Source organism: Homo sapiens, chromosome 7, assembly GCF_000001405.40.
Source record: "Homo sapiens chromosome 7, GRCh38.p14 Primary Assembly".
In the NCBI taxonomy this organism is placed as follows: domain Eukaryota; kingdom Metazoa; phylum Chordata; class Mammalia; order Primates; family Hominidae; genus Homo; species Homo sapiens.
This window is the reverse complement of record NC_000007.14, coordinates 618,566-643,687: the sequence shown is the minus strand read 5'-3', so window position 1 is coordinate 643,687 and position 25,122 is coordinate 618,566. Positions and strand designations below refer to the sequence as shown.

Genomic DNA, 25,122 nt, shown 5'->3' with positions numbered 1-25,122 from the left:
TGCAGTGGCGCAATCTTGGCTCACTGCAACCTCCACCTCCCCAGTTCAAGTGATTCTCCTGCCTCAGCCTCCCGAGTAGCTGGGATTACAGGCCTGCGCCACCATGCCCAGCTAATTTTGTATTTTTATTAGAGACTGGGTTTCTTCATGTTGGTCAGACTGGTCTCGAACTCCCAACCTCTGGTGATCTGCCTGCCTCGGCCTCCCAAAGTGCTGGGATTACAGGCATGAGCCACTGTGCCTGTCCAAAGCTATGACTTTTTATGAGTGAGCTGCGAAGGATCGTCCAGTTGTTCTCACGCTTTCCTCCCTGAAGGACGCAGGGTCCAGGTCTTATTCCTTTAGGGATTCCCCGTGCCTCGCGCTGCCTAAGCTCATGGTTTTAAAGTGTGTCCTGGGAGGTGGAAGGTGTGAGTAAATCTTGCGGTATTTCTCATCCAAAATTGTAAATGTAAATTGTCATGCCAATGCAGTTTGAAGATGGCATGAAAGAGTGACTGAATATAGTATCAGGAAGTTTAAAATTAAAGACTGTTGTCTTTCTCTTTTGCAATGGCAGAGTCTGATTATTTTCAAGGTAATTATAGCATTCATACCAACGGCCAATGTGCTCAGCACTTGATGGAATACCGGCTATGTGCCAGGCTCTGCCGTACACAGAATTCCAGGTACTACTCCACATCCCAGTGAAGTGCGGGGTTAGCACCATCCATCCTTTACAGAAGGGGAAACTGAGGCTCAGAGTGGCAAAATCACTGCTCAAGACAAGGTGGCGGGACGGGGATTTGAACCCAGGACAGATGACTGCGACCCACGGTCTCACTGCCCCCTCCACGCCCTGCTGTGGTGAACCGAGTGTGCTGCCTGATAAACCAGCTAGTTTTTAGGAAATGGGGTTGACTGGGGTCTTGCGGCAGGGGGCAGAGTTTGTTTCTTTCTTTTTTTTTTTTTTTTTGAGACGGAGTCTCGCTCTGTCGCCCAGGCTGGAGTGCAGTGGCGGGATCTCGGCTCACTGGCTCACTGCAAGCTCCGCCTCCCGGGTTCACGCCATTCTCCTGCCTCAGCCTCCCAAGTAGCTGGGACTACAGGCGCCCGCCACTACGCCCGGCTAATTTTTTGTATTTTTAGTAGAGACGGGGTTTCACCGTTTTAGCCGGGATGGTCTCGATCTCCTGACCTCGTGATCCGCCCGCCTCGGCCCCCCAAAGTGCTGGGATTACAGGCGTGAGCCACCGCGCCCGGCCGAGTTTGTTTCTTAAACAGCTTTACAGAGGTAGAATTCATATATGATAAAATTCACCCACTGTAAGTAGCCTATTCAGTGACTTTGAACGAATTTACAGAATTATGCCACCATCATCATGATCCAATTTTAGAGCGTTTCCATCATCCCAGAAAGTTCCCTTGTGCCTGTTTATGGTTAATCCTCACTTCCACCCCCGTCCACCATGAATCTGCCTGCATTTTCTGGACATTTGAAATAAACGGAGTCGGGTGGGTGCGGTGGCTCATGCCTGTCATCCTAACATTTTGGGAGGCTGAGGTGGGTGGATCGCTTGAGCTCAGGAGTTCAAGACCAGCCTAGCCAACATAGCAAGACCCGATCTCTACAAAAAATAGCTGGGTGTGGTGGTGCGTGCCTGGAGTCCCAGCCACTTGGGGAGGAGGGAGGAGGGCGGATCCCTTGAACCCGGGAGGTTGAGGCTGCAGTGAGCTGGATTGTGCCACTGTGCCCTAATCTGGGTGACAGAGTGAGACCCTGTCTCAAAAAAAGTGACAAAAGTAAATACATACATAAATAAATGGAGTCATTCAATATGTGACTCTAAAAATAAATAAAAAATAGTGATAATAAAAGTAAATAAATACATAAATAAATGGAGTCATTCAATACGTGACTAAAAATAACACAGTGATAATAAGTAAATAAACACATAAATAGAGTCGTTCAATACGTGGTCTTTTGTGTCTGGCTTCTTTCACTCAGGGTGTTTTTTGAGGTTCATCCATATTTTAGCACATTTATGTACTTTCTTGACAATATCCCATTGTATGGATCTACTGTAATTTGATCACCGCCCGCTCCCTGCCATGGACCTGTGGGTTGTTGTCAGTTTGGAGCTATTATGAACAATACGGCGTCATCTGGGTTGTTTTCAGTTTGGAGCTATTATGAACAATACGGCACCATTTGGGTTGTTTTCGCTTTGGAGCTATTATGAACAATACGGCGTCATCTGGGTTGTTTGCTGTTCGGAGCTATTATGAACAATGCGGCATCATTTGTGTTGTTTTCTGTTTGGAGCTATTATGAACAATACGGCGTGAACAGCCTTATGCGTGTCTGTGTGAACGTACGTTTTCACTTCTCTGGAGTAGATTCCTAGGAGTGGAATTGCTGGGTCTTTTCCCGGCCTTTAAAGAATTCTCTTTTCCGGCCGGGCGCGGTGGCTCACGCCTGTAATCCCAGAACTTTGGGAGGCCGAGGCGGGCGGATCATGAGGTCGGGAGATGGAGACCATCCTGGCCAACACGGTGAAACGCCGTCTCTACTAAAAATACAAAAAATTAGCCGGGCGTGGTGGCGGGCACCTGTAGTCCCAGCTACTCGGAAGGCAGAGGCAGGAGAATGGCGTGAACCCGGGAGGCGGAGCTTGCAGGGAGCCAGATGGCACCACTGCACTCCAGCCTGGGCGACAGAGTGAGACTCAAAACAAAAAAAAAAGAATTGTCTCTTTTCCAAAGTGGCTGCACCATTTTGCATTTCCACCAGCAACGTATGAGGGTTCTCATTTCTCCACATCCTTGCTGGCATTTGGTATTGTCTGTCTTTTATTGTAGTCATTCTAGTGGATGCAAAGTGGTATTTCATTTGTGTCTGTGTGTGTGTGTGTGTGTGTGTGTGTGTGTGTGTGTGTGTGTTTGAGACAGAGTTTTGCTCTTGTTGCCCAGGCTGGAGTGCAATGGTGGGATCTCTGCTCACTGCAACCTCCACCTTCTGGGTTCAGGTGATTCCCCTGCCTCAGCCTCTCGAGTAGCTGGGATTACAGGCAGCTGCCACCACACCCGGCTAATTTTTGTATTTTTAGTAGAGATGGGGTTTCACCATGTTAGCCAGGTTGGTCTCGAACTCCTGACCTCAGGTGGTCCACCCGCCTCGGCCTCCCGAAGTGCTGGGATTACAGGCGTGAGCCACCGCGCCCAGCCTCTTTGTGGTTTTGATTCACATTTCCTGAATGACTAATGGGGTTGAACAGCTTTTCAGGTGTTTCTTAGCCAGTCGTTTAACTTCTTTGGTAAAATGTCTGTCCGAATCGTATGTCTATTTTAAGATTGAGTTCTTGGTCTTATTATGGAGTTGTAAGTGTTCTTTATATGTTCTGGATACAAGTCCTTTACCAGACACAGGGTTTACAGATATTTTCCCCAGTCTGTGGTTTGCTGTCTTCATTTTCTTAATGGTGTTTTTTGAAGTGCAAAAATTTTTATTTTGATGAAGTTCAATTTATCTTTTTTTTTTTTTTCGAGACGGAGTCTCGCTCTGTTGCCCAGGCTGGAGTGCAATAGTACGATCTCGGCTCACTGCAACCTGCGCCTCCCGGGTTTAAGTGATTCTCCTTCCTCAGCCTCCTGAGTAGCTGGGACTACAGGCGCATGCCACCACGCCTGGCTAACTTTTTTATTTTTAGTAGAGATGGGGTTTCACCATGTTGGCCAGGCTGGTCTCAAACTCCTGACCTTGTGATCCGCCCACCTTGACCTCCCAAAGTGCTGGGATTACAGGTGTGAGCCACTGCACCCGGCCAGTTTTTCTTTCTTTTTTTCTTTTTAAGGATGGATTCTTGCTCTGTTGCCCAGGCTGGAGTGCAGTGGCGCGATGATCATGGCTCACCGCAGCCTCGAATTCCTGGGCTCGAGCAGTTCTCTGCCTCAGCCTCCTGAATAGCTGGGACTACATGCTTGCACCACCATGCCAGGCTAATTAATTTTTTAATTTTTTTGTAGAGATGGGGTCCCACTCTGTTGCCCAGGCAGGCTGAGAGCTCCTGGCCTCAAGCCATCCTCCCGCCTTGGCCTCTCAAAGTGCTGGGATTACAGGCGTGAGCCAGTATGCCTGGCAGTTTTATCTTTTTTCAATTATGCTTTTGCGGTTACATCTAAAATCTCTTTGCTTCACCCACATTAATGAAGATTTTCTCTGATTTTGTCTTCTTTTATAGTTTCAGCTCTTACATTTAGGACTGTCATCCATTTTGAGTTACTTTCTGTGTGAGGAGTGAGTAAGTGTCCAAGTTCATTGTTCTTAGTGGGTATCCAGTTGTCCCAGCACGATTTGTTGAAAGCACTCTTTCTTTCCCCATTGACTTGCCTTGGCACCCTGGTTGGAAATCAGTTGACCACAAATGTAAGGGTGGATTTCTGGCCTCTCAGTACAAATCCGTTTTACTAATACCACCACCGTCTTGATTACAGTGGTTTTGTAGTAGGTTTTCAGATCAGGTAGTCAAAGTCCCCCTACTCCGTTCCTTTTCAAAACTGTCTCGGCTATTTCCAAGTGCCCTTACATTTCTGTATGAATTTCATTTTTTAAAATTTTTATTTATCTTTTTGAGACAGAGTCTCGCTCTGTCACCCAGGCTGGAGTACAGTGGCGCGATTTTGGCTCAACACAACCTTCACCTCCCAGGCTCAAGCGATTCTCCTACCTCAGTCTCCCGAGTAGCTGGGATTACAGGTGCCCACCACCACATCTGGATAATTTTTGTATTTGTAATAGAGACGGGGGTTTCACCATGTTGGCCAGGATGGTCTCGAACTCCTGACCTCAAGTGATCCGCCCGCTTCAGCCTCCCAAAGTGCTGGGACTACAGGCGTGAGCCCCCGCGCCCGGCCGCATGTGAATTTTAGGGTCAGCTTAGCAGTTGTAAGAGTGTGTGTTGAATTGATAGATCAGTTTGGTGTCATCTTGTCAATATTGAATCTTCTCAATAAAGATTGTATTTAGATCTTTAACTTCTCAGCAGTATTTCGAAGTCCTGCCCGTCTTCTCGTAAATGTTTCCCCTGCATTTCATTCCTTTCAATGTCATTACGAGGAAGACAATGTTCTTAGCAGGGCTGGCTGGCATTGAGGAAGGGTCGCCAGTAGGCAAGAATGTCTGAGCCTGGCGAGGAGAGAGCCCTGTGCCCCGTGATGTGTCTAGGAGAGACCCTCGGGGAGAGGCAGGTGGCTGAGTGCACAGAGGAGTTGCTGAGCCGACTTCACCTGTCCCGAGGCCCCCGGGGGACGATCTGTCAGCCCCAGTGAAGGGAGCTGGGGGAGCTCTCCAGACTGGTTTTTAATTATGTGAGGTGTGTTCACCACCAACTTCAGTAGGATGCCTCCGGGACCTGTTTAGGGGAAAAGCAATTCCACAGCTAAACATTCGTTGCCCTGTTTATCCGGGCATGGGGCTGAAATTCAAATTAAAATGTGCCAAGTCGAGGAGCTCACAGGGGTTTCTAAAGATATTTTAGGCTTTCAGTCCCAGGCTCATTCCAAGGTGTTTATTAAGTGCCTGCTGGGTGCCCACGCGGGCCTGGGCCAGGCACACAGACAACGCTGGTGCTTGCCAGCTAGGTGGGCACAGGGTCCTGCCCCGCGTCTTCTCCGCCGGCGGGGCAGGATGAGAACACGGGGCACCATAGGAAGAGGACACACTCCTCTATGTCATGCACTTCAGAGGCTGCAGAAGACAATCTGGGCGTCCACACGGAGCTGCCCCCCATGCAGGGTTCTCATTGTCCAACACAAGCTCTGTGCTGCCTGTTTTAGCCCCCATCTTCCCTGTTATTTATTTATTTATTTATTTTTTTAGATGGAGTCTCTCTCTTGTCCCCCAGGCTGGAGTGCAGTGGTGCGATCTCGGCTCACTGCAACCTCCACCTCAGGTTCAAGCGATTCTGCTGCCTCAGCCTCCTCAGTAGCTGGGATTACAGGCACCTGCCACCACACCCGGCTAATTTTTTGTATTTTTAGTAGAGACGGAGTTTCACTATGTTGGCCAGGCTGGTCTCGATCTCCTGACCTCAGGTGATCCACCCACCTCGGCCTCCCAAAGTGCTGGGATCACAGGCGTGAGCCACCGCACCCGGCCCATTATTTGCTCTTGATTCTTTTAAAGGTGCACTGAAGATTTACAAATATCAGGAAATGAACATTTTATTTTTTCCTTAGGTTTAAAGACTGTATAAAGCATTTTAATAAACATGATTTGTTTGTTTGTTTTTTTGAGACAGAGTCTTACTCCTTCACCCAGGCTGGAGTGCAGTGGCGCAATCTCGGCTCATTGCAATCTCCACCTCCCTGGTTCAAGCGATTCTCCCGCCTCAGCCTCCCAAGTAGCTGGGATTACAGGTGCGCCACCATGCCCAGCTAATTTTTGTATTTTTAGTTAGAGACGGGATTTCACCATGTAGGCTAGACCTCTGCCTCCGAAGCTCAAGCGATCCTCCCACCTCAGCCTCCCGAGGAGCCGGGACTACAGGTGTGCACCACCACGCCCGGCTAATTTTTGTATGTTTTTGTAGAGATGGGGTTTCGCGGTGTGGCCCAGGCTGGTCTCAAAGTCCTGAGCTCAAACCGTCCACCCGCCTTAGCCTCCCAAAGTGCTGGGATTAGGTGTGAACCACCACACCTCACCTCCTTCAAGGTTTCTGACTGGTCCTGGAGCTTGGCCTGTCCCGGCACTCCCCACCCCCCACCTTCAGCACCTGGCCCCTTCCCTCACGGCCGTTCTTTCCCACTCGCCGTGGTTTGCGGGGTCACAGTTGTTGAGGAAGTTGCAGACACCTGGGAGCTGCTCTTGATAGCAGGGAGTTTGGCGTGTGATACCCATTCCTCACCCAGGAGGGAGGGGCGTGCAGGTGCAGAGACAGAGAGATGGACCCGACCCGTCAGGTCCCGCCGGCCCCCTCCCCAGCAGGCTTCTACAGCACAGCCTCTGTGAGGGTGGAAATGCTTCTGTCTGAGCTGCTGTCCTCACAGTGGCCACGGGCTGGGGAGGTGCTGGCCACCTGGGGTCACTGTGTTCCAGCAGTTGAGAGAGGCAGAGCATTGGCTGTCAGAAAGGACCATTCTGGGTGGGGCAGGAGGGGCCCCAGGACCAGCCCTCATTGGCAGGGCTGGCAGGAAACCCCCCACCCCTGGTGAAGGAGCCCCAGCATCCGGTGGGCACAGTGGGCACAGTCCGGTGGAGGACGTGAGGGCGCGGCCGGTGGAGGACGTGTGGGCGCGGCCGGTGGAGGACGTGAGGGCGCGGCCGGTGGAGGACGTGTGGGCGCGGCCGGTGGAGGACGTGTGGGCGCGGCCGGTGGAGGACGTGTGGGCGCGGCCGGTGGAGGACGTGAGGGCGCGGCCGGTGGAGGACGTGAGGGCGCGGCCGGTGGAGGACGTGAGGGCGCGGCCGGTGGAGGACGTGTGGGCGCGGCCGGTGGAGGACGTGAGGGCGCGGCCGGTGGAGGACGTGTGGGCGCGGCCGGTGGAGGACGTGAGGGCGCGGCCGGTGGAGGACGTGTGGGCGCGGCCGGTGGAGGACGTGAGGGCGCGGCCGGTGGAGGACGTGAGGGCGCGGCCGGTGGAGGACGTGTGGGCGCGGCCGGTGGAGGACGTGTGGGCGCGGCCGGTGGAGGACGTGAGGGCGCGGCCGGTGGAGGACGTGAGGGCGCGGCCGGTGGAGGACGTGAGGGCGCGGCCGGTGGAGGATGTGTGGGCGCGGTGCTGGTACTTTTACAATGCTTCGTGAACCTGCTGTCCGTAGCTCTGTTTCACAGATGGGGAAACTGAGGCCTGGCGATTAAGTGGCCTGCTGAAATCATCCAGCTAGTAAGTGTCGGAGCTGTGATTTGGACCAACTCCTGCCTCCAAAGCTCATTCACCTCCTTACCTTTGCACTGAGCTCCAGAAAACCTGAGGCTTCCCCGTCTCCCTCGCTGTGCCTTCTCTCCCCTGCTCAAAGACCGTCCTGCAGCCATCATGGAGGGAGAAGCCCTTTTTCCTAAGCTGTTCACAGGATAGTCTGGGAGGGCCTGGGAGGCAGCGGAGGAGTCCCGAGCCTTCCGGGCTCCAGGCCTGGGTTCCAGTGCCCTGGGGAGAGGCCTAGGGCTGCCAAGGGGCCCTCGGGTCCCAGCTGTGCGTCTGCCAGGAGAGGACTGTGGAGTCAGTGTTGGGGACGCTCCCTGAGCCCCAGGGGGGTGCAGGCAGGTTGCCGTCCACTCCGATCCTTCTGAGGCTCTGTGGCCCAGGCCTGCTGCTCTGACCCCTGTTTTCAGAGCAGCGATGCCACAGTCTGCCTGGGCGCGAACATGACATCTGGCCCAGATCCGGAACATTCAGGGCCAGTCTGGTCCTGAGATGTGGAAGCTGCCAGGGGAGGGCTGGGCCTTGGGGCCCACAGGGACCCCTGCTCAGCTGGTTTCCAGCCTGTGGAATGTGGGTCCCAGGGTGTCAGATCTTGATTTTTCCAGAGAAGCTGGAAGTCCGGTTTTTTGGTGAAATCTCCTAATTTTATTTATTGTTTTAAATTTTACCTTGAAAATAGTTCACACAGAAACGTTGCAAGGAGAGTATCATGAAGCCCTGTGTACCCTTTGCCACTCAGCATTTTGGGACGTATTTGTGCTGCATTTGCTTCATCAGTTCTGTGTTCTACATTCGCATACTGTTATTTTTACTCTTTTTATTATTTGGATCATTTGAGAGTAAGTTGCAGGCTGGGTGCGGTGGCTCACACCTGTGATCCCAGCACTTTGGGAGGCTGAGGTGGGCGGATCGCTTGAGGTCAGGAGTTCGAAACCAGCCTGGCCAACGTGGTGAAACCCCGACTCTACTAAAAACACAAAAATTAGCCAGACATGGTGGCGGGTGCCTGTAATCCCAGCTACTCGGGAGGCTGAGGCAGGGGAATCACTGGAACCCTGAAGGCAGGGGTTGCAGTGAGCCAAGATCGCTCCATTGCACTCTAGCCTGGGTGAAAGAGCGAGACTCCACCTTAAAAAAAAAAAAAACAGTAAGTTGCAGACACCAGGACCCCACGCCTTAAATGCTTCACTGGGTGTCTCCTAAGAACAAGCAGGAAAATCATCACAGGCACAGCGCTCACCCTGCACGCAGCACCCTGAGCTGAGCTGACCCCCACCCAAATTCAAACTCTGTCCCAGTTCTTTTTTTTTGGAGACAGGGTCTTGCTCTGTTGCCCAGGCTGGAGTGCAGTCATGAGATCACAGCTCACTGCATCCCCAACCTGCTGGGCTCAAGTGATCCTCCCGCCTTAGCCTCCCGAGTAGCTGAGCCACTGCACCTGGCTAAGTTGAAAAATGTTTTTTTTTGGGCCGGGTGCAGTGGCTCACGCCTGTAATCCCAGCACTTTGGGAGGCTGAGGCGGGCGGATCACAAGGTCAGGAGTTCGAGACCAGCCTGGCCAACACATTTGAAACCCCGTCTCTACTAAAAATACAAAAATTAGCCGGGCATGGTGGCAGGCGCCTGTAATCCTAGCTACTGGGGAGGCTGAGGCAGGAGAATGGCGTGAACCTGGGAGGCAGAGGTTGCAGTGAGCTGAGATCACACCATTGCACTGCAGCCTGGGAGGCAGAACTAGACTCCCTTTAAAAAAACAAAATTTATTTATTTTTTCTTGTACAGATGGGGTCTCATTATGTTGCCCAAACTCCTGGGCTCAAGCAGTTCCCCTGCCTCAGTCTCCCAAAGTGCTGCGATTACAGGTGTGAGCCACTGTGCCTGGTCCAAATCCCTGAGGAGCCCAGGCAGGTGGTTTACAAGGTCTTGGGTCTGCCTGTTTCCCGTGATTACACACAGCCTCCTTACTTTTGCTGGGAAGGCCGTGAACAGGAGCTGTGTCCTCGCTGCTCCCCTCCCCGACTTTTTCCAAGGTGGGCAGCTCCTTTAAATCACCTCAGGAACCTGGGAGGCCAGGCGGGCCCAACCTGCGTCCCAGCATTCAGCTGCCTTATTAAGCACAGAGTCTGAGCTCAATAAAATCAGGACCACAGGCATGCACCACCACACCCAGCTAATTTTGAAATTTTTTGTAGAGATGGGGTCTTGCTGTATTGCCCCGGCTGGTCTTGAACTCCTGGCCTGAAGTGATCCTCCCGCCTCGGCCTCCCAAAATGTTGGGACTACAGGTGTAAGCCACCATGCCCAGCCTGTATTACTTTTTAAATCTGAATTTGGTTTGTATAATTACATGAAATACTAATATGGCTCCCAAGTCGTGGGATATTACAGAAGTCTTGCCGCCTTCCTGGGTCCCGTCTCCTGTGCACAGAGCCCCTTCCTTTCACCTGTGGGTGACTATCTTAATATTTTCTGTGTCGATTTGCCTATGTGTGGTTTAAATAAGCAAATACGCACATGGAGTCACGGCCCCTCCTGCCTGTGTTAGATAGATGTTTGCACACGAGACACACTTTTCTCCACTTGGTGTTTTTCATTTGACATCATGTCCTGGAGATCACGTCTTTGCTGTTTATAGCGATATCTGGGGGAGGATTTTGACAGCGTGAAGGGTTTGTTTCTGAGCGTATTCCAGAGTCGGAGCAGTGGTGGGAGCAGAGAATGAATTCACACGCATGGCGTCGGCACGACATGACTCCATCTAGCTGATCTCACTACGACCCGCGCGCCTGGCTTCCCTCTGCCCGTGATTTAGAGGAGAAAGTGGAGGCTTGCCGGAGCCGGCCGGGACCTGGTGTCTGCTTCCCGGACAGGCACTGTGTGGCCCCAGGCTCAGGAGGGCTGACGGGTGCCGGCCGTCGGGGGCTCCTTGAGGCTGTGGCTGGGCACACAGCCCCGTAGAGTCCCAGACCTGTTGCGGGTGTGGCCCACGGAATCCTCCTGATGGCTCTGTAGCTTGTATCACGTGTGGCTGGCAGTGCCGGGGGCTCAGGAACATCCGGTAGAGAGTGCAGCCTCCGTGGCATTTCTGTGTGAGGATGAACCGGAGTGAGCTCAGCCTCGCCCTGTGCCCTGCAGAGCAGACACGCAGCAGCATCATGAGGGCCGCAGTGTCCTGAAGGCCTGGATCCATCTGTACCAAGGCAGCCCCACCCAGTGTGCTCGGAACAAGGGAATCCCCACAGAAGAGAATGGCTCCTGGGAGTACCAGTGCCATGACCCGGCAGCGGGGACACTGGTGGTCTTCAGACGCAGTGGCCGTCCTGAGCTGAGCCAGGGGCAGTGGGAAGACCCCCCCGGTGGAGCCTGCGGCTCGGGGGGCTGTGTTGGGGGGCAGTGGATGGGAGAGACAGCAGCAGGAGGATTCGTCTCGAGTCCGGGTCTCTGCGAAGCCGGTGCCGGCTTCGGCGAGGTGGGTGGTCTCCACGCCCCTTGAGGTTGAGAAGATGTGCGCCCTTCTGCAGGGGCCGAGCTGCTGGGCGTCTGGCAGAATTTCACAGTGTTTAAAAGGAATGATTTTTAATGAGGCAACAGAGACACAGGGTTCACACAGACAAGGCAGAGAGAGATAACAGACCTTGGCCAGCACCTGCTCCCCCCAGGCTCTGTTGCGTGTGCGCAGGAGGGTCACACGGAGACGCTGGCTCACACGTGAGCTCGGTCTTCCTGGGGGCTACACACAGCTGTGCCAGTTGCCTTTTTCTCTTTACGGTTTCTCTTGGAGATTTTTCTAGATCGGGACACAAGGTGCTCTCCTCCCGCTGCTTTTTTTTTTGAGACAGGGTCTTGCTGTGTCGCTCAGGCTGGAGGGCAGTGGTGCCATCACAGCTCTATGCAGCCTCAATCTCCTGGGCTCAAGCAATCCTCCCACCTCAGCCTCCCGAGTAGCTGGGACTACAGGTGCATGGCATCATGCCTGGCTAATTTCCAATTTTTTTTTTTTTAGAGATGGGGGTCTCTCTATGTTGGCCAGGCTGGTCTGGAACTCCTGGGCTCAAGCGAACCTCTCCTCGGACTCCCAAAGTGCGGGGATGACAGGCATGAGGCACCGCGTCTGGCATCCGCCTTCTTTTGGAGTCTCACAGGATCCCCAGTGTGCTCGGAGGACAGTGGGCTGGGTTTGCGTGGTGGGCCTGCACACCGTGCCCCGGCTTTTCCACGCAGCACCTTTGTGGGGCCGTGTTTTCTCCCCCTCGGGCTGTGTGTGCTGGGCTGTGAGACTGGCTTCTGTCTGGGTGCTGGCTGACCCTGGAACTGGCCTGGCCAAGGTGACCGGCTTCTGCCTGTTTTCCTTCCTGAGTCATCCCAGGTTAGGTGCTGAGTGGCTTTGGGCCGGCGACCACCCCTGTCTGGGCCTGAGGGTGCCGTATCTGTAAGGTCTATGGCATGACATGGCGAGAGGTGGGCCGCTGTCCACACCTGGCCACTGTCAACTTCCATCTTGCTGTTTGAACAACTGCTCTTGAAAACCAGTTTGAATCAAGCTGGCACGGCGGCTCACGCCTGTCATCCCAACACTTTGGGAGTTCAAGGTGGGCGGATCACTTGAGGTCAGGAGTTTGAGACCAGCTTGGCCAACATGGTGAAACCTTGTCTCTACTAAAAATACAAAAATTACCCGGGATTGGTGAGGGTGCCTGTAATCCCAGTTACTCGGGAGGCTGAGGCAGGAAAATCGCTTGAACCAGGAGGTGGAGGTTGCAGTGAGCCAAGATTGTGCCACTGCACTCCAGCCTGGGTGACAGAGCAAGACTCTGTCTTTAAAAAAAAAAAAAAAAAAATCCGAATCAGCTGCAAGCCCTCTGTTGAAACCAGGCGATGGTCAGGGAGCTTCTGAGTTTCCATCTTATCTGAAAGCTGGAAGGTCACACGTGTGGGCCCTGCTCCACCTGGGTGATGGTGCTCCCTGGAGATGGTGGGGGGGGTGTGCTCCCCATCCCTGCACCTGACTGGGCCTGGGGGTGGCTGAGTTTGCAATCCCTGTCTGTCTCCCTGGTCCTGAGGGAGCCTCCAGCTTTGGTGATGCAGTGCCTATGGCACATCCCCTGGGCGTCTTTAACATGAGCCTGGCAGTGAGGCCAGGAGGGAGGCATTTGATCCCCCCGGGGCCAGCCTCACCCGTATGGCCTTTGGAAAGCTATGTCTCTTCACTTAGAACAAAGGTTCAGACCAAATTAAAACAATAATAACAAAATCAAGTGCATCTGAGTTTGTACAGGGAGCCGTGGGACCCCCAGGGCAATGGGATAGGCCACCCCCTGGGTACCCACAGGCCTCAGATGCAGGCTGACCTTGCACCCCCAGCCAGGACCCCAACCGCTGCCCGCTGCCTGCCTGCCACCTGCCAGCACAGGCGCAGTTTGGGCCTGTTTTCCAGCTCCCGGCCGGCCAGTTTTGACAACAGGACCACCTGCCTGGGGGTTTGCCTCTCCGATGGGGCTGGCCGAGCCCTCAGGTACATCTCAGCTGCTCACCTGCTAGGAGCCACGGTCACCTTCGCCTGGCCTGGCCCAGCCCCCTCCACACCTTTCAAGTGCCCTGGTCCTGGAAGGGGGAGGTGGGGGTGTGCCTGGCTCTTCCACTGCGCTCCACTTCCAAGGCCCGGCCTGTGCTTTGAAGCAGCAGCCGTGGAAAGAAAACAAGTATTGCAGCCCACAGAGCCCTGGGAGGCCGTGGTCCCGCTCCTGCAGCGTTTTCCAGCCCTGGGGTGGTGGCGCCCTGGGAGGCCGTGGCCCCGCTCCTGCAGCGTTTTCCAGCCCTGGGGTGGTGGCGCCCTGGGAGGCCGTGGCCCCGCTCCTGCAGCGTTTTCCAGCCCTGGGGTGGTGGCGCCCTGGGAGGCCGTGGCCCTGCTCCTGCAGCGTTTTCCAGCCCTGGGGTGGTGGCGCCCTGGGAGGCCGTGGCCCCGCTCCTGCAGCGTTTTCCAGCCCTGGGGTGGTGACGCCCTCGGAGGCCGTGGCCCCGCTCCTGCAGCGTTTTCCAGCCCTGGGGTGGTGGCGCCCTCGGAGGCCGTGGCCCCGCTCCTGCAGCGTTTTCCAGCCTTGGGGTGGTGGCGCCCTCGGAGGCCGTGGCCCCGCTCCTGCAGCGTTTTCCAGCCTTGGGGTGGTGGTGCCTTCGGAGGCCGTGGCCCCGCTCCTGCAGCGTTTTCCAGCCCTGGGGTGGTGGCGCCCTGGGAGGCCGTGGTCCCGCTCCTGCAGCGTTTTCCAGCCCTGGGGTGGTGGTGCCTTCGGAGGCCGTGGCCCCGCTCCTGCAGCGTTTTCCAGCCCTGGGGTGGTGGCGCCCTCGGAGGCCGTGGCCCCGCTCCTGCAGCGTTTTCCAGCCTTGGGGTGGTGGCGCCCTCGGAGGCCGTGGTCCCGCTTCTGCAGCATTTTCCAGCCTTGGGGTGGTGGTGCCTTCGGAGGCCGTGGCCCCGCTCCTGCAGCGTTTTCCAGCCCTGGGGTGGTGGCGCCCTGGGAGGCTGTGGCCCCGCTCCTGCAGCATTTTCCAGCCCTCGCGCTTGGAGCCAGGGTCTGAGGGCTACAGTGGAACCAGCTGCCTGGAATCCTGTCACTGTGCCATGAGCCCGGTGCCTTTCACTCTGGAAAACGTGCCCTGTCCTGGGAGGTGATGGCTGAGGAAGGCAGCCAGGCTTGGGAATGTCTCCAGGGCTTCTCATCTTCTGCACGGAGCGGGCTCTGTCACCATCGGCTGTAATGTCCGACACACAGGTGGTGTAGCAATGGCGTCCCGCGGTGGCGGAGTGGCACGGGCTCACAGGACGTTGCAAGCACCTTGGCGTCAGAACACGAGTGCCCGCCGTGGGCTGCAGAGCAGGCACCTCCACCCCGTCCCCGACGAACCCTGAGGGGTCCTTGAGCCTGACTTGGGGGGTCCTTGAGCCTGACTTGGGGGGTCCTTGAGCCTGACTTGGGGGTGGGCGAGGAATTTCAGAGGGTTTCTTGGAAAAGGCGAGGGAGGGAGATGGTCAGGGGGGTGAAATGGACAAGGCCGTGGGCTTTGCCAACTCTACCCGGGGTAGGCGGGGTTGCCCTGCAGTGCACCTGAGACATTGAGGTCTGCAGAGTGGGCCTGCTTTTCCCGCCATCGCCTGGCCGGCCTGACCCTGGTCCAATCCTGACAGCCCCCAGCTGTGTGGTTTTCCTGGGCCTGAGCGAGCGACTGGTCCCATCGAGCCCCTGCCGGCCTTTGCTCTTCCTCACACGGGCCTGGGAGGAGCTCCAGCCCGGCAACCCGGTTTGATGGCAGACAGCTGGGGCTCTTTTCTTCCTCCAGGAATGAAATCCTTGGAGAAGAAAGATCCTGCATCCCAGTCTGGAGAGAGGCCTCTGGAGGGGACCCCGCCTGCCCTCTGCTGACCTAAGCATGCCTTGGCTGTTGGCGGCTCCCGCCTCGTGCCCGCCTTCGCCTTGGCTCCACGTCCCCGATTTTGACTTGCTCGGCACAGAGAGGTTCTGATGAGGTTTCCAGCTCTAGGCTGGGTCCAGCCTGTGGGATGCAGAGGCAGATCCGGTGCCCGCAGAGCCCATCGCTGAGTCTGGTTGAGCAAATAGCAAAACCTGTTTGCTGCCCCAGGGGTGCCTGATGTGGCTGAGCACAGGAAGCCGCGTGGCCGTGGATGGCTGGTTATGAGGCAGTACAGGTCCCTTTCGCATGGTCTTTGGGGAGATGAGTTCGGGGGGCCTTCAGTCCCACTCCCCCCACCGCTGTCCCCCTGTGATGAGGCCTCGGCCTGTGTTTGTTCCGTGAGTGACAGTCAGAAGGGCCCCACCCATTCGATGTTCACCCCTGTTTTGCTGGTGCCTTTATGAGACAGGGGCTGTGTGTGCCCCATTTCCCGGCAACCTGGCGCCCAGCACAGACCTGCCTGTACATAGCGGGCACTCGGAAAATACCAGTGAGGGCCGAGTGGAGTTGAGCGCTGGCAGTCGTGGCCTGGATCTTCCAGGCTGCCTGAGCCTGAGTGGCGGGTGCTCACCTCCTCCCCCAGTGCCCGGGGAGGGCGGGCGTGAGCTGGGCGGGGGGCTCTGGATGGAGAGCGCCCGAGCCCCTGCCCACCCTGGGGGGTGTTGGTGCCCTCCTTAGGAAGGGACAATTGGAAGTGCCCTCTGCTGTCAAGCTCAGTACTGGGGTGCCCCGGACGGTGTGATATTTGGCCTTGCAGTCCTGATGGATTGGGGGGGTCAGCCGTGTAGAGTGCCGGGTGGCGTTGGCCGTGGCTGTCCGACCGCCTGGGTCCGCACCTGGCTCTGCCCTTTGCAAACCCTCAGGCGTGGGGGAGTCATGAGTTAGTCTCGGCCTCAGTGTCCCGTCTGTAAAATGGGTGTTGTAAAAGTTCCAGGTGAGAGTGAAGTCCTCAGAAGGACCCTGTGAGCTCTTAGGGAACCCTGGATCCCTCGGCCCCCACCGCTACCCTCCGCCAGTGCTGATTAAAATGTTATCTTTTGGGGCCAGGCCCTGTGGCTCATGCCTGGAATCCCAGCACTTTGAGAGGCTGAGGCGGGATGGTTGCTTGAGCCCAGGAGTTTGAGACCAGCCTGGGCAATGCGACGAGACCCCATCTCTACAAATAAATAAATAAAAATGCCTGTAATCCCTGCACTTTGGGAGGCCGAGGTGGGCGGATCACGAGGTCAAGAGATTGAGACCATCCTGGCCAACATGGTGAAACCCTGTCTCTACTAAAAATACAAAAAGTAGTTGGGCGTGGTGGCGGGTGCCTGTAGTCCCAGCTATTCGGGAGGCTGAGGCAAGAGAATCGCTTGAACCCGGGAGGCGGAGCTTGCAGTGAGCCGAGATCACGCCACTGCACAGCCTGGGTGATAGAGTGAGACTCCATCTTAATAAATAAATAAATAAAAATTAGCTGAGCATGGTGCTGTACCTGTAGTCCCAGCTACTTGAGAGGCTGAGGCGGGAGGACCGCTCGTGTCCAGGAGGTCAAGGCTGCAGTGAGCTATGATCATGCCACTGGAATCCAGCTTAGGTGACAGAGACCCTGTCTCTAAAAAAAAAAAAGTTCACTTTATCTTTCCTTTTTTTTTTCCTCCAAGATCAGATTAATTTGTTTTCGTGTTAAAGCTGTCCTCATAGAATTATTTAGGAAGTGTTTCATCTGCTTCTATTTTCTGAAGCTAATGTAGAGAATTGGTATTATTTCTTCCTAAATATTTGGTAGAATTAACTAGTGAACACATCTGTGCTTAGTCCTTTTTTGTTTTTATTTTTGTTTTTTGTTTCTGAGAGACAAGGTCTGTCTCTGTCATCCAGGCTGGAGTGCAGTGGAACAATCATAGCTCACTGCAATTGCCAGCTCCTGGACTCAAGTGATTCTCTGGCCTCATCCTTCCAAGTAGTTGGGACTACAGGTGTGCACCACCAGGCCTGATTAATTTTTTTAAAATTTTTAGTAGAGATGAGGTATTGCTATGTTGCCCAGGTTGCTCTCAAATGCCTGGCCTCAAGTGATCTTCCTGCCTCAGCCTCTAAAAGTGCTGGGATTACAGGTGTGAGCTGCTGTGCCCAGCCTGGGCTTGACGCTTTTTGTTTTGAAAGGTTAATAATTACTGATTCAACTTCTTTAATAGATACAAGCTTGTTCAGATTATCTGTTGCTTCTTGTGTGAATTTTAGTAGATTGTGTATTTCAAGGAACTGGCCCATTTTATCTGAGTTATCAAATGTGTAGTCATAGAGTTTTTCTTTCTTTCTTTTTTTTTTTTTTTTTTTGAGATGGAGTTTTGCTCTTGTCACCCAGGCTGGAGTGCAATGGCGCGATCTCGGCTCACTGCAACCTCTGCCTCCTGGGTTCAAGTGATTCTTCTGCCTCAGCCTCCCCAGTAGCTGGGATTACAGGTGCCTGCCACCATGCCCAGCTAATTTTGTGTATTTTTTACTAGAGATGGGGTTTCACCATCTTGGCCAGGTTGGGCTCGAACTCCTGACCTCAGGTGATCTCCTGCCTCGGCCTCCCAAAATGCTGGGATTACAGGCATGAGCCACCGTGCCTGGTCTCATAGAGTTTTTCATAATATTATTTTATTTTTAATGTCCATAGGACCTGTAGTGGTGTCCCTTGTCCATAGGACCTGTAGTGATGCCCCTTGTCCATGGGACCTGTAGTGATGCCCCTTGTCCATAGGACCTGTAGCGGTGCCCCTTGTCCATAGGACCTGTAGTTATGCCCCTTGTCCATGGGACCTGTAGTGATGTCTCTTGTCCATGGGACCTGTAGTGATGTCCCTTCTTTCATTTCTGAAGTTAGAGATGCTTTGGCTGCATCGATTTTCTTTAGTATTTTCCTATTTTCAATTCCATTTATTTCTGTCTTAATTTTTATTCTTACTTTTCTTTTTGTTGCTTTGGATTTAATTTCCTCTTCTTGTTGTAGTTTCCCAAGATGGAAGCTTAGGTTGTTGATTTTGGATCTTTTCCTAATATATGCATTCAGTGCTATAGATTTCCCTCTAAGTGTTGCTTTTGCTACCTCCTGCATATTATGATAAGCTCTATTTTCATTTTCATTTCGTTCAAAATATTTTTCAACTTCTCTTGAGCCTTCTTTTTTGACCCATGCATTATTTAGAAGTATGTTATTTAATCTCCAAATATTGTGGGATTTCCTATCTATCTTTCTGTTACTGACTTCTAGTTTAATTCACTTCCGGTGTGAGAGCATGCACTATATGATTTCTGTTCTTTTACATTTGTTCAGGGATATTTTATGGCCCAGAATGTTTTCTCTCTTGGTAAATGTTTCATGTGAGCTTGAGAAGAATGTGTAGTCTGCTCTTGTTTGATGAAGTCTGTAAATGTCAATTATTTCCTGTTAACTGATGGTGCCATTCAGTTAATCTATGTTCTTACTGATTCTCTTTTTTTATTTCCTGTGTATAATTTTTCAAACTAGATTACTGATTTTCTGCCTGCTGGATCTGTCAATAACTAGCTGAGGGGCGTTAAAGTCTTAAACTATAATGGTGCATTTGTCTGTTTCTCCTTGCAGTTTGATCAGATTTTGCCTTATGACCCATTTTTAAATTTAATAGGCCTATAGTGACCATCATCCAGTCTCCGTGGATGTGTCTCCACATCACTGTTTTTTAATACCTCCTTGTGTTCCATTCTGTAACTTAATTAACCAATCACCAACTATTGCATATTTCAAACCTTCATGGCTACAAGCAGCTCTGTGATAAACAGCCTGCTAGCCACATCTTATATATTTTAAAAATTGCTTCTATAGAGGAAATGCTAGGGGAAAGAAAAACCCATTCAAAGAGCATGCACTTTTTTTTTTTCTTTTTGAGATGGAGTCTTGCTCTGTTGCCCAGGCTGGAGTGCAGTGGCACGATCTCACTCAATGCAACCCCCACCTTCTGGATTCAAGCGATTCTCCTGCCTCAGTCTCCTGAATAGCTGGGATTACAGGCACATGTCACCAAGCCTGGCTAATGTTTGTATTTTTAGTAGAGATGGGGTTTCCCCATGTTGGCCAGGCTGGTCTCGAACTCCTGACCTCAGGTGATCCGCCTGCCTCAGCCTCCCAAAGTGCTGAGATTACAGGTGTGAGCCACCATGCTTGGTCAGCATGCATATTTTTAAGATAAAAGTTTGCTGTCACCAACCTAAACCTGCGGGTGCTGGTCTTCATCCAAAGTGGATTCTGATTCAGAAGCTCAGGGCTGGCGTGGGTATCTGGGGATACTGTGAACATCCAGGGCTGGACGCCATGGCCAGTGGCATGGACTAGCAATTCTGGTTGGAAGCCCAAGAATGTACAGAAGGAATTTGCCATCCTCCACCTCCTTCCCTAGATCCACAGGGTAGAGCGGACACTTGGCTTGTACCTCCCTTCTGGGACTCCATAGGTTCATTCCATACCCTGAACCCTGGCCATTCACGCGCTTCTCTCTCCAATGCCAAGAAAACGTTATTCAGTGACGTGTGTTAAAGCATGGCATGGAAGACTTCATTCTGGACCATTGCACTAGGTACAGGGATCACTGCAATGGGGTCTTGCGGTGGAGGAAGGAGCTTGGGCTTGCCTCCGAATATGAGATGAGAACGTGAGAATTTCCACCTAAGTGGCAGTGGATGGAAAATGACCGAGAGGAAACACCAGGGGCTGGGGGGTTCTGGCTTCACTGACCTAACAGGATTGTTGCTGAAGAGAGGCCAGGGTGACCAGACATCCCCCATGGGGTGGTGGGTGTGAGGAGCCTGATCAGACACTGAGGATGATCAGATATCAAAGATGATCACATATTGATTATGGTGGGTGATCGGTTCTGGCTGAACTGATTTGGCAGGATTATTTTACAAGGAAGTACAGATGGGCCTAGAAGAAGGTTCTGGAACCTGACTAAAGTTTGGCCAGAGAGAGAATTGTTGTTACCACATGTTTGTGGTTAGGAACCAGACCCACAGTCAAGAGTGTGGCCGAGGGTCCCAGGGGATTTGAGAACACCGTGCTGTTGGCACCCCAGCCGGGAGCAGGAGCTCTGCTTTCCATGATGCCAGGACTGAGTTATTGCTATTTAGAGAGAATTTTTTGGAAACTTGTAGTCAACAGAGTCACGGAACAAGCCTTCACCTAAACAGTGGAAGAGGCTAAACACAAGCCAGGATGCTGTGTCTGGGGCGCTGGGATCCCAGCAGATGGGAACCCTGGGTCTTGGGCTGGGACAGAAGAGATAGGACCGTGATGCCAGCACCCAGGGTCTGCCCAAGGGTTTAGGCCACTTCCTTTCCTTAAATAACATTGACCTAAGGTTTAAATCCGCAATGGAGAGAGGTTCTTCCCCAGCGAGGGCAGCATGTCTAGGTCTTTCAGAACCACTTCTAAAGGAGGACAGACTGAGCAGGCCACTCTTTCCCCCTGGATAGCGTCATGTTGAAAAACATAAGAAGTCAGAAAAACATATTAGTATGCGCTGGAACAAGTGTTCTGCCTTCAGCGGGGTCCTTTTTGGTAAATGTTCTGTTTTCTTCACTCATCATTCCCGTCTGCTCCTTGTCAATACACATATGCACATTCTCTGCAGACCTACTGTTGGTGCATATGTGCCTCTGTGTGTTCTGCTCTTTGACATCATGGGAGGGGGAATAACAACCCGTGTCCTGACTCTGACATCCCCCTTCCATCCCTAGGAAGGTTCAAAGATTTTCAAAATAGAGAGTTGAAAAAAACTAAAGATCAGACATGTTGGAAGTGCTAATAACTCAGTTTGCCTTCTTTATTACTGGATACGATCCTAGCACATTCATGTTCTCCCAGGTCAATGTCATGATGCTTTTGTTTAAAAGTCACAAAAATTCTTTATTTCTTTTAGCCTCAGGCAGACATTTCTAACATACAGAAATGCAGATTGTTGGAGCGGGAGGAGTGAGCGGGAGGCCCTGTGTGGCGCGGGGGTCCTTGCTGCCACCCCTCACCTCGCTGCTCTTCTGAATGCATGCCCAGCCTTGGCAGGCACCTGGTGCTCGGGTCTGAGGTGCAGCTTTGAGGGGCTGTGGGTGCCCATCCTTTCTGTTGTCCCCCTTAGGTGGCCTCGGCTCTGAGAACTGGCTGAACCTGTTTGCTTCAGCAGGTTTCTTTGCATGGGTGAGGGCGGGGAGGTGTTTACCTGTCAGGCCACCTCTGGCTGCAGTTCCACAATATATTAGCAATGTAAGCCAACAAAAAGGAATAAAAAAGCCAGAGTGGTGAAGAGACTGGCTGAGATCGGGGCATGGGCCGCTCCATTTGCATCACTCCTGGGGGATTCTGGGACATGTGTGACCCTTCTAGCAGCACTGGGGGAGCGGCTGCATGGGGTTTGGAACCAGCAGACACTATGGCAGCAGCTGCTGACCGTGGGAGCCCCTTATTCTGCTGAGTGCTTCACAAGCCTCATGATCACTGAGTCCTCCCTGCTGCTTTAGAGGCTGAGAGTGTTACTGTGCCCATTTTACAGATGGCTTAACTCTTCAGAAACTCAGTCCCCTGGGTCCCTCCAGGCAAGGTTGGGACTTGTACCACACATGATGAGGTGATGGCCAGGAAGCATCTGTCATGGGGATGACCCCACCTGCTGTGACATCACCCCACACAAGCATCTGTCACCACTGCTCAATAGTGAGCCCCTTAGGGAAGGGTTGCAAACTCGGGATCCTGGGGGTTCAGGAATTAAGTGGAAAACGTGGAGTCCTTGGGAATTGTGGCAGATTGGAGATGGTCATGCTCCTTCCAAAGTGGGGGTGAGCTGAATTCTTGCTTTGGGAGTACAAGGTCCCTGTGTTGTCAGACTTTTCTTTTTATTTTCTTTTTTCAAAGGAAAGCCAACAATTTGGATTTTATGAATTTTGTAAATTTTTAAATATTGGGAGATGATTTTGAAAATACCATCAACATTGGCACATGAATAAATAGAAAACCTGAAGAGATCTAGAAGCATTAAGTAAGTTGAAATGGTAACCAAAGACCTTTCCTCCCAAAGGGTTCTTTCTGATGGTTTCACTGGTTGAGTTCTTTCAAACATCAGCAAACTGTCTATTCTTACTTCTCAAATTGCTACAGAAAATAGAAAACAAGAGGAAGCTGCTAGATCATTGTATGTACTGTACTGTGATCAGGTGGAGATGATCCAGAATTCAAGGATGGTTCAACCTCAGAATACTCTATCCATGTAAATCACCATATTAGTAGATTGTAGAGAAAGAGCATGTGACATGTCACATAGGTGTTGGAAAAGGTTTTGACAAAGCTCAACAACTATTGCATAAATTCTTAGCAAACTAAGAATAGGGTCACTTCTTAACTTGGTAAAGGTCATACATACCCAACACAGAGCAAACATGCTAATGGAGAATCTTTGGCTACATGCTCTTTAAGGGAGGGACCACAATGAGGCTCTGATGGCTTTCATGGTTTAACTGTGCTTGGGAGGTCCCGGCAATGCTATAAAGAAAGAAAAATAAGAGGAGTCCTAATTGGAAGGGTAGAGAGAAGATGAATTTGATCATGTCTATGGAAACCAGCATAGAATACACAGAACAACTCTTACATTCTTATGAGTGTTCAGCAGGGTTGGTGCAAGCTCAACTTACAAAAATCATCATTAAGAAGCCCAAGGAATCCATAAATAAATATACACAATTTTTCTTTGTCAATTTAAAGAAAATTTAAAAATACGGATTCCTTCCCATCACAATGAAGATATTAAATCTGTCTCAACAGAAAGAAAGAGAGAAAAAAAAGAGCCCAAGGGGCTGGGTGGGTGCAGGGAATGAGAAAAGAGACACAGATGAGGAGTAACTGGAGAATAGAATTTGAAAGGATGCCATTCATGAGGGCAACAGCCACTGAGAAGTGGAATGTGCTTGACAACAGATTACAGAAGACTCTAGGGAGGAAGTTTTAAACCTCTATAAGGACATAAAACACGATCTGAATAGGGAGAGGCGGTCTGTATTCTTGGGTGGAATGACTCAACGTGATGATGTCATTTCTCCCTCACATTAATCTCTACCTTCAAAGCAGCTCCACTTCAAATTGCAGCTGGAATATTGTGAGGCAGTAAACACATTCGGAAATGTGAATGAGCTGGGTGCGGTGGCTTATGCCTGTAATCCCAGCACTTTGGGAGGCTGAGGTGGGAGGATTGTTTGAGCCCAGGAGTTTGAGACCAGCCTGGGCAACACAGAGAAACCCCATCTCTAAAAAAAAAAAAAAAAAAAGTAGCTGGGTATGATGGCATGTGCCTGTAGGCCCAGCTACTCAGGAGGCTGAGGCAGGAGGATCACTTGAGCCCAGGAGTTCGAGGCTACAGTGAGCTATGATCGCACCACTGCACTCTAGCCTGGGTGACAGAGTGAGACCTTGTCTCTAAAAAACAAACAACAAAACAAAAAACAAAACAACAGAAAGAAAAAGGAAAGGAAAGAATAAAAATTTGCAAATAACTAAGTCATCTTTGAAACAGAAGCACAAAGAAGAGGGACTTCTCCTACCAAGAGCTGAGGCTCAGCAGGAGGCCTTGATCATAAATGGAGCCAGGTGCCCTGCAGGAAGGGACGGCAGAACAATGGCGTGGGGCCGAGAGCTGAGAGGAGGTGCAGGCACACATGGGAGCTCCATATTTAATAGATGCAAGAGGTAGTTTAGTGCAGTGGTTAAGACAAGGACTCTGGAGCCAGATCACCCGGTTTTGAATCCCAGCACCACCATTCCTTAGCTGTGTGACCTTGGGCAGGTTCCTTAACCTCTCTGTGCTTCTGTCCTGCTCCCACTTGTATGTGAGGATAAGGGGAGTGATGATCATATATGCCACAAGGTTGTTGTGAGAATTAAATGAGCAACTGTGCGTAAAACACTGTGTTAGTTTCTAGGGCTGCCATAACAGAAGGACAAACTTGGCCTTAACAACAGTGATCAAGCGTCTCATGCTTCTGGAGGCCAGAAGTCCAAGCTCAAGATGTGGGCAGGGCTGGTTCCCCCTGAGGGCTGTGTGTGGGGATCTGGCCTGGCCTCTCCTTGGCTTGTAGGTGCCGTGTTGCCTCCCTGCTGTGCTTTCGTCCGACTCTTCGCTCTGCGTGGACACTGTGTTTTCCCTGTGTGTGTCCAAGTCTCCTCTTTTTATAAGGACACCAATCATATTGAGTTAGGGCCAACCCTACTCCAGTAGGACCTCACTTTTTTCAAGACAGGGTCTTGCTGCCAGTCTGTGGTGCTCTGTGATGGCAGCCCAGGCAGACATGTCGGAGAGTATTTCATTACTTGGTTGTGGGGAAACACTTTCTTAAACAAAACCCACAAAGCACAAACCATAAAGCAAAAAAGAGGTTACATCAGATGAAAGATGTCTACCTAATTAAGGACATCATGAAAAAGTTAACAGGTGACTGCGTGTAAGAAGATAGTTGCAATATCTAAACCCGACAAGCAACCGGTATCTAAAACACACAAGGAATTTCTGCAAATCAGCAGGAAAGAAGGTACCAACCCTTCTATCAAGATGGGCACAGGATATGAACAGGAAGTTTACAGAAGAGGAAACACAACCAGAGGAGAAGCCCTTGAAGAGCAGCTCAGAGCTTAGAGATCAGGGAAATGGAAATGCAAACAAAACGGCAGTTCAAAGCCGCAGCCCCAACGTGTCAGGCAATGTGGTGACGTGGGTAGATCTAGAG

The 25,122-nt window shown here is 52.0% G+C and overlaps 1 protein-coding gene across 10 annotated transcripts in view, besides 1 other annotated feature; it reads left to right on the top strand.

Moving 5' to 3' along the window:
- Positions 1-25,122, top strand: part of PRKAR1B (protein kinase cAMP-dependent type I regulatory subunit beta) — a 179,738-nt gene that overhangs the window by 85,247 nt on the left and 69,369 nt on the right. The window contains exon 1 of one of the 10 annotated variants that reach the window (XM_047420609.1): positions 7,742-7,863. The exons of the other annotated variants lie outside the window; for them this stretch is intronic. The gene's annotated coding sequence lies outside the window, so the exon portion shown is untranslated. Of the gene's footprint in view, positions 1-7,741; positions 7,864-25,122 lie in introns of those variants that run through there. 10 annotated transcript variants of the gene reach the window in all.
- Positions 3,229-3,429: a silencer, noted in NCBI's record as "peak6334 fragment used in MPRA reporter construct". NCBI's record gives its function as "represses an SCP1 promoter by STARR-seq MPRAs in K562 erythroleukemia cells {active_cell/tissue: K562}" and the evidence as "EXISTENCE:reporter gene assay evidence [ECO:0000049][PMID:32103011]".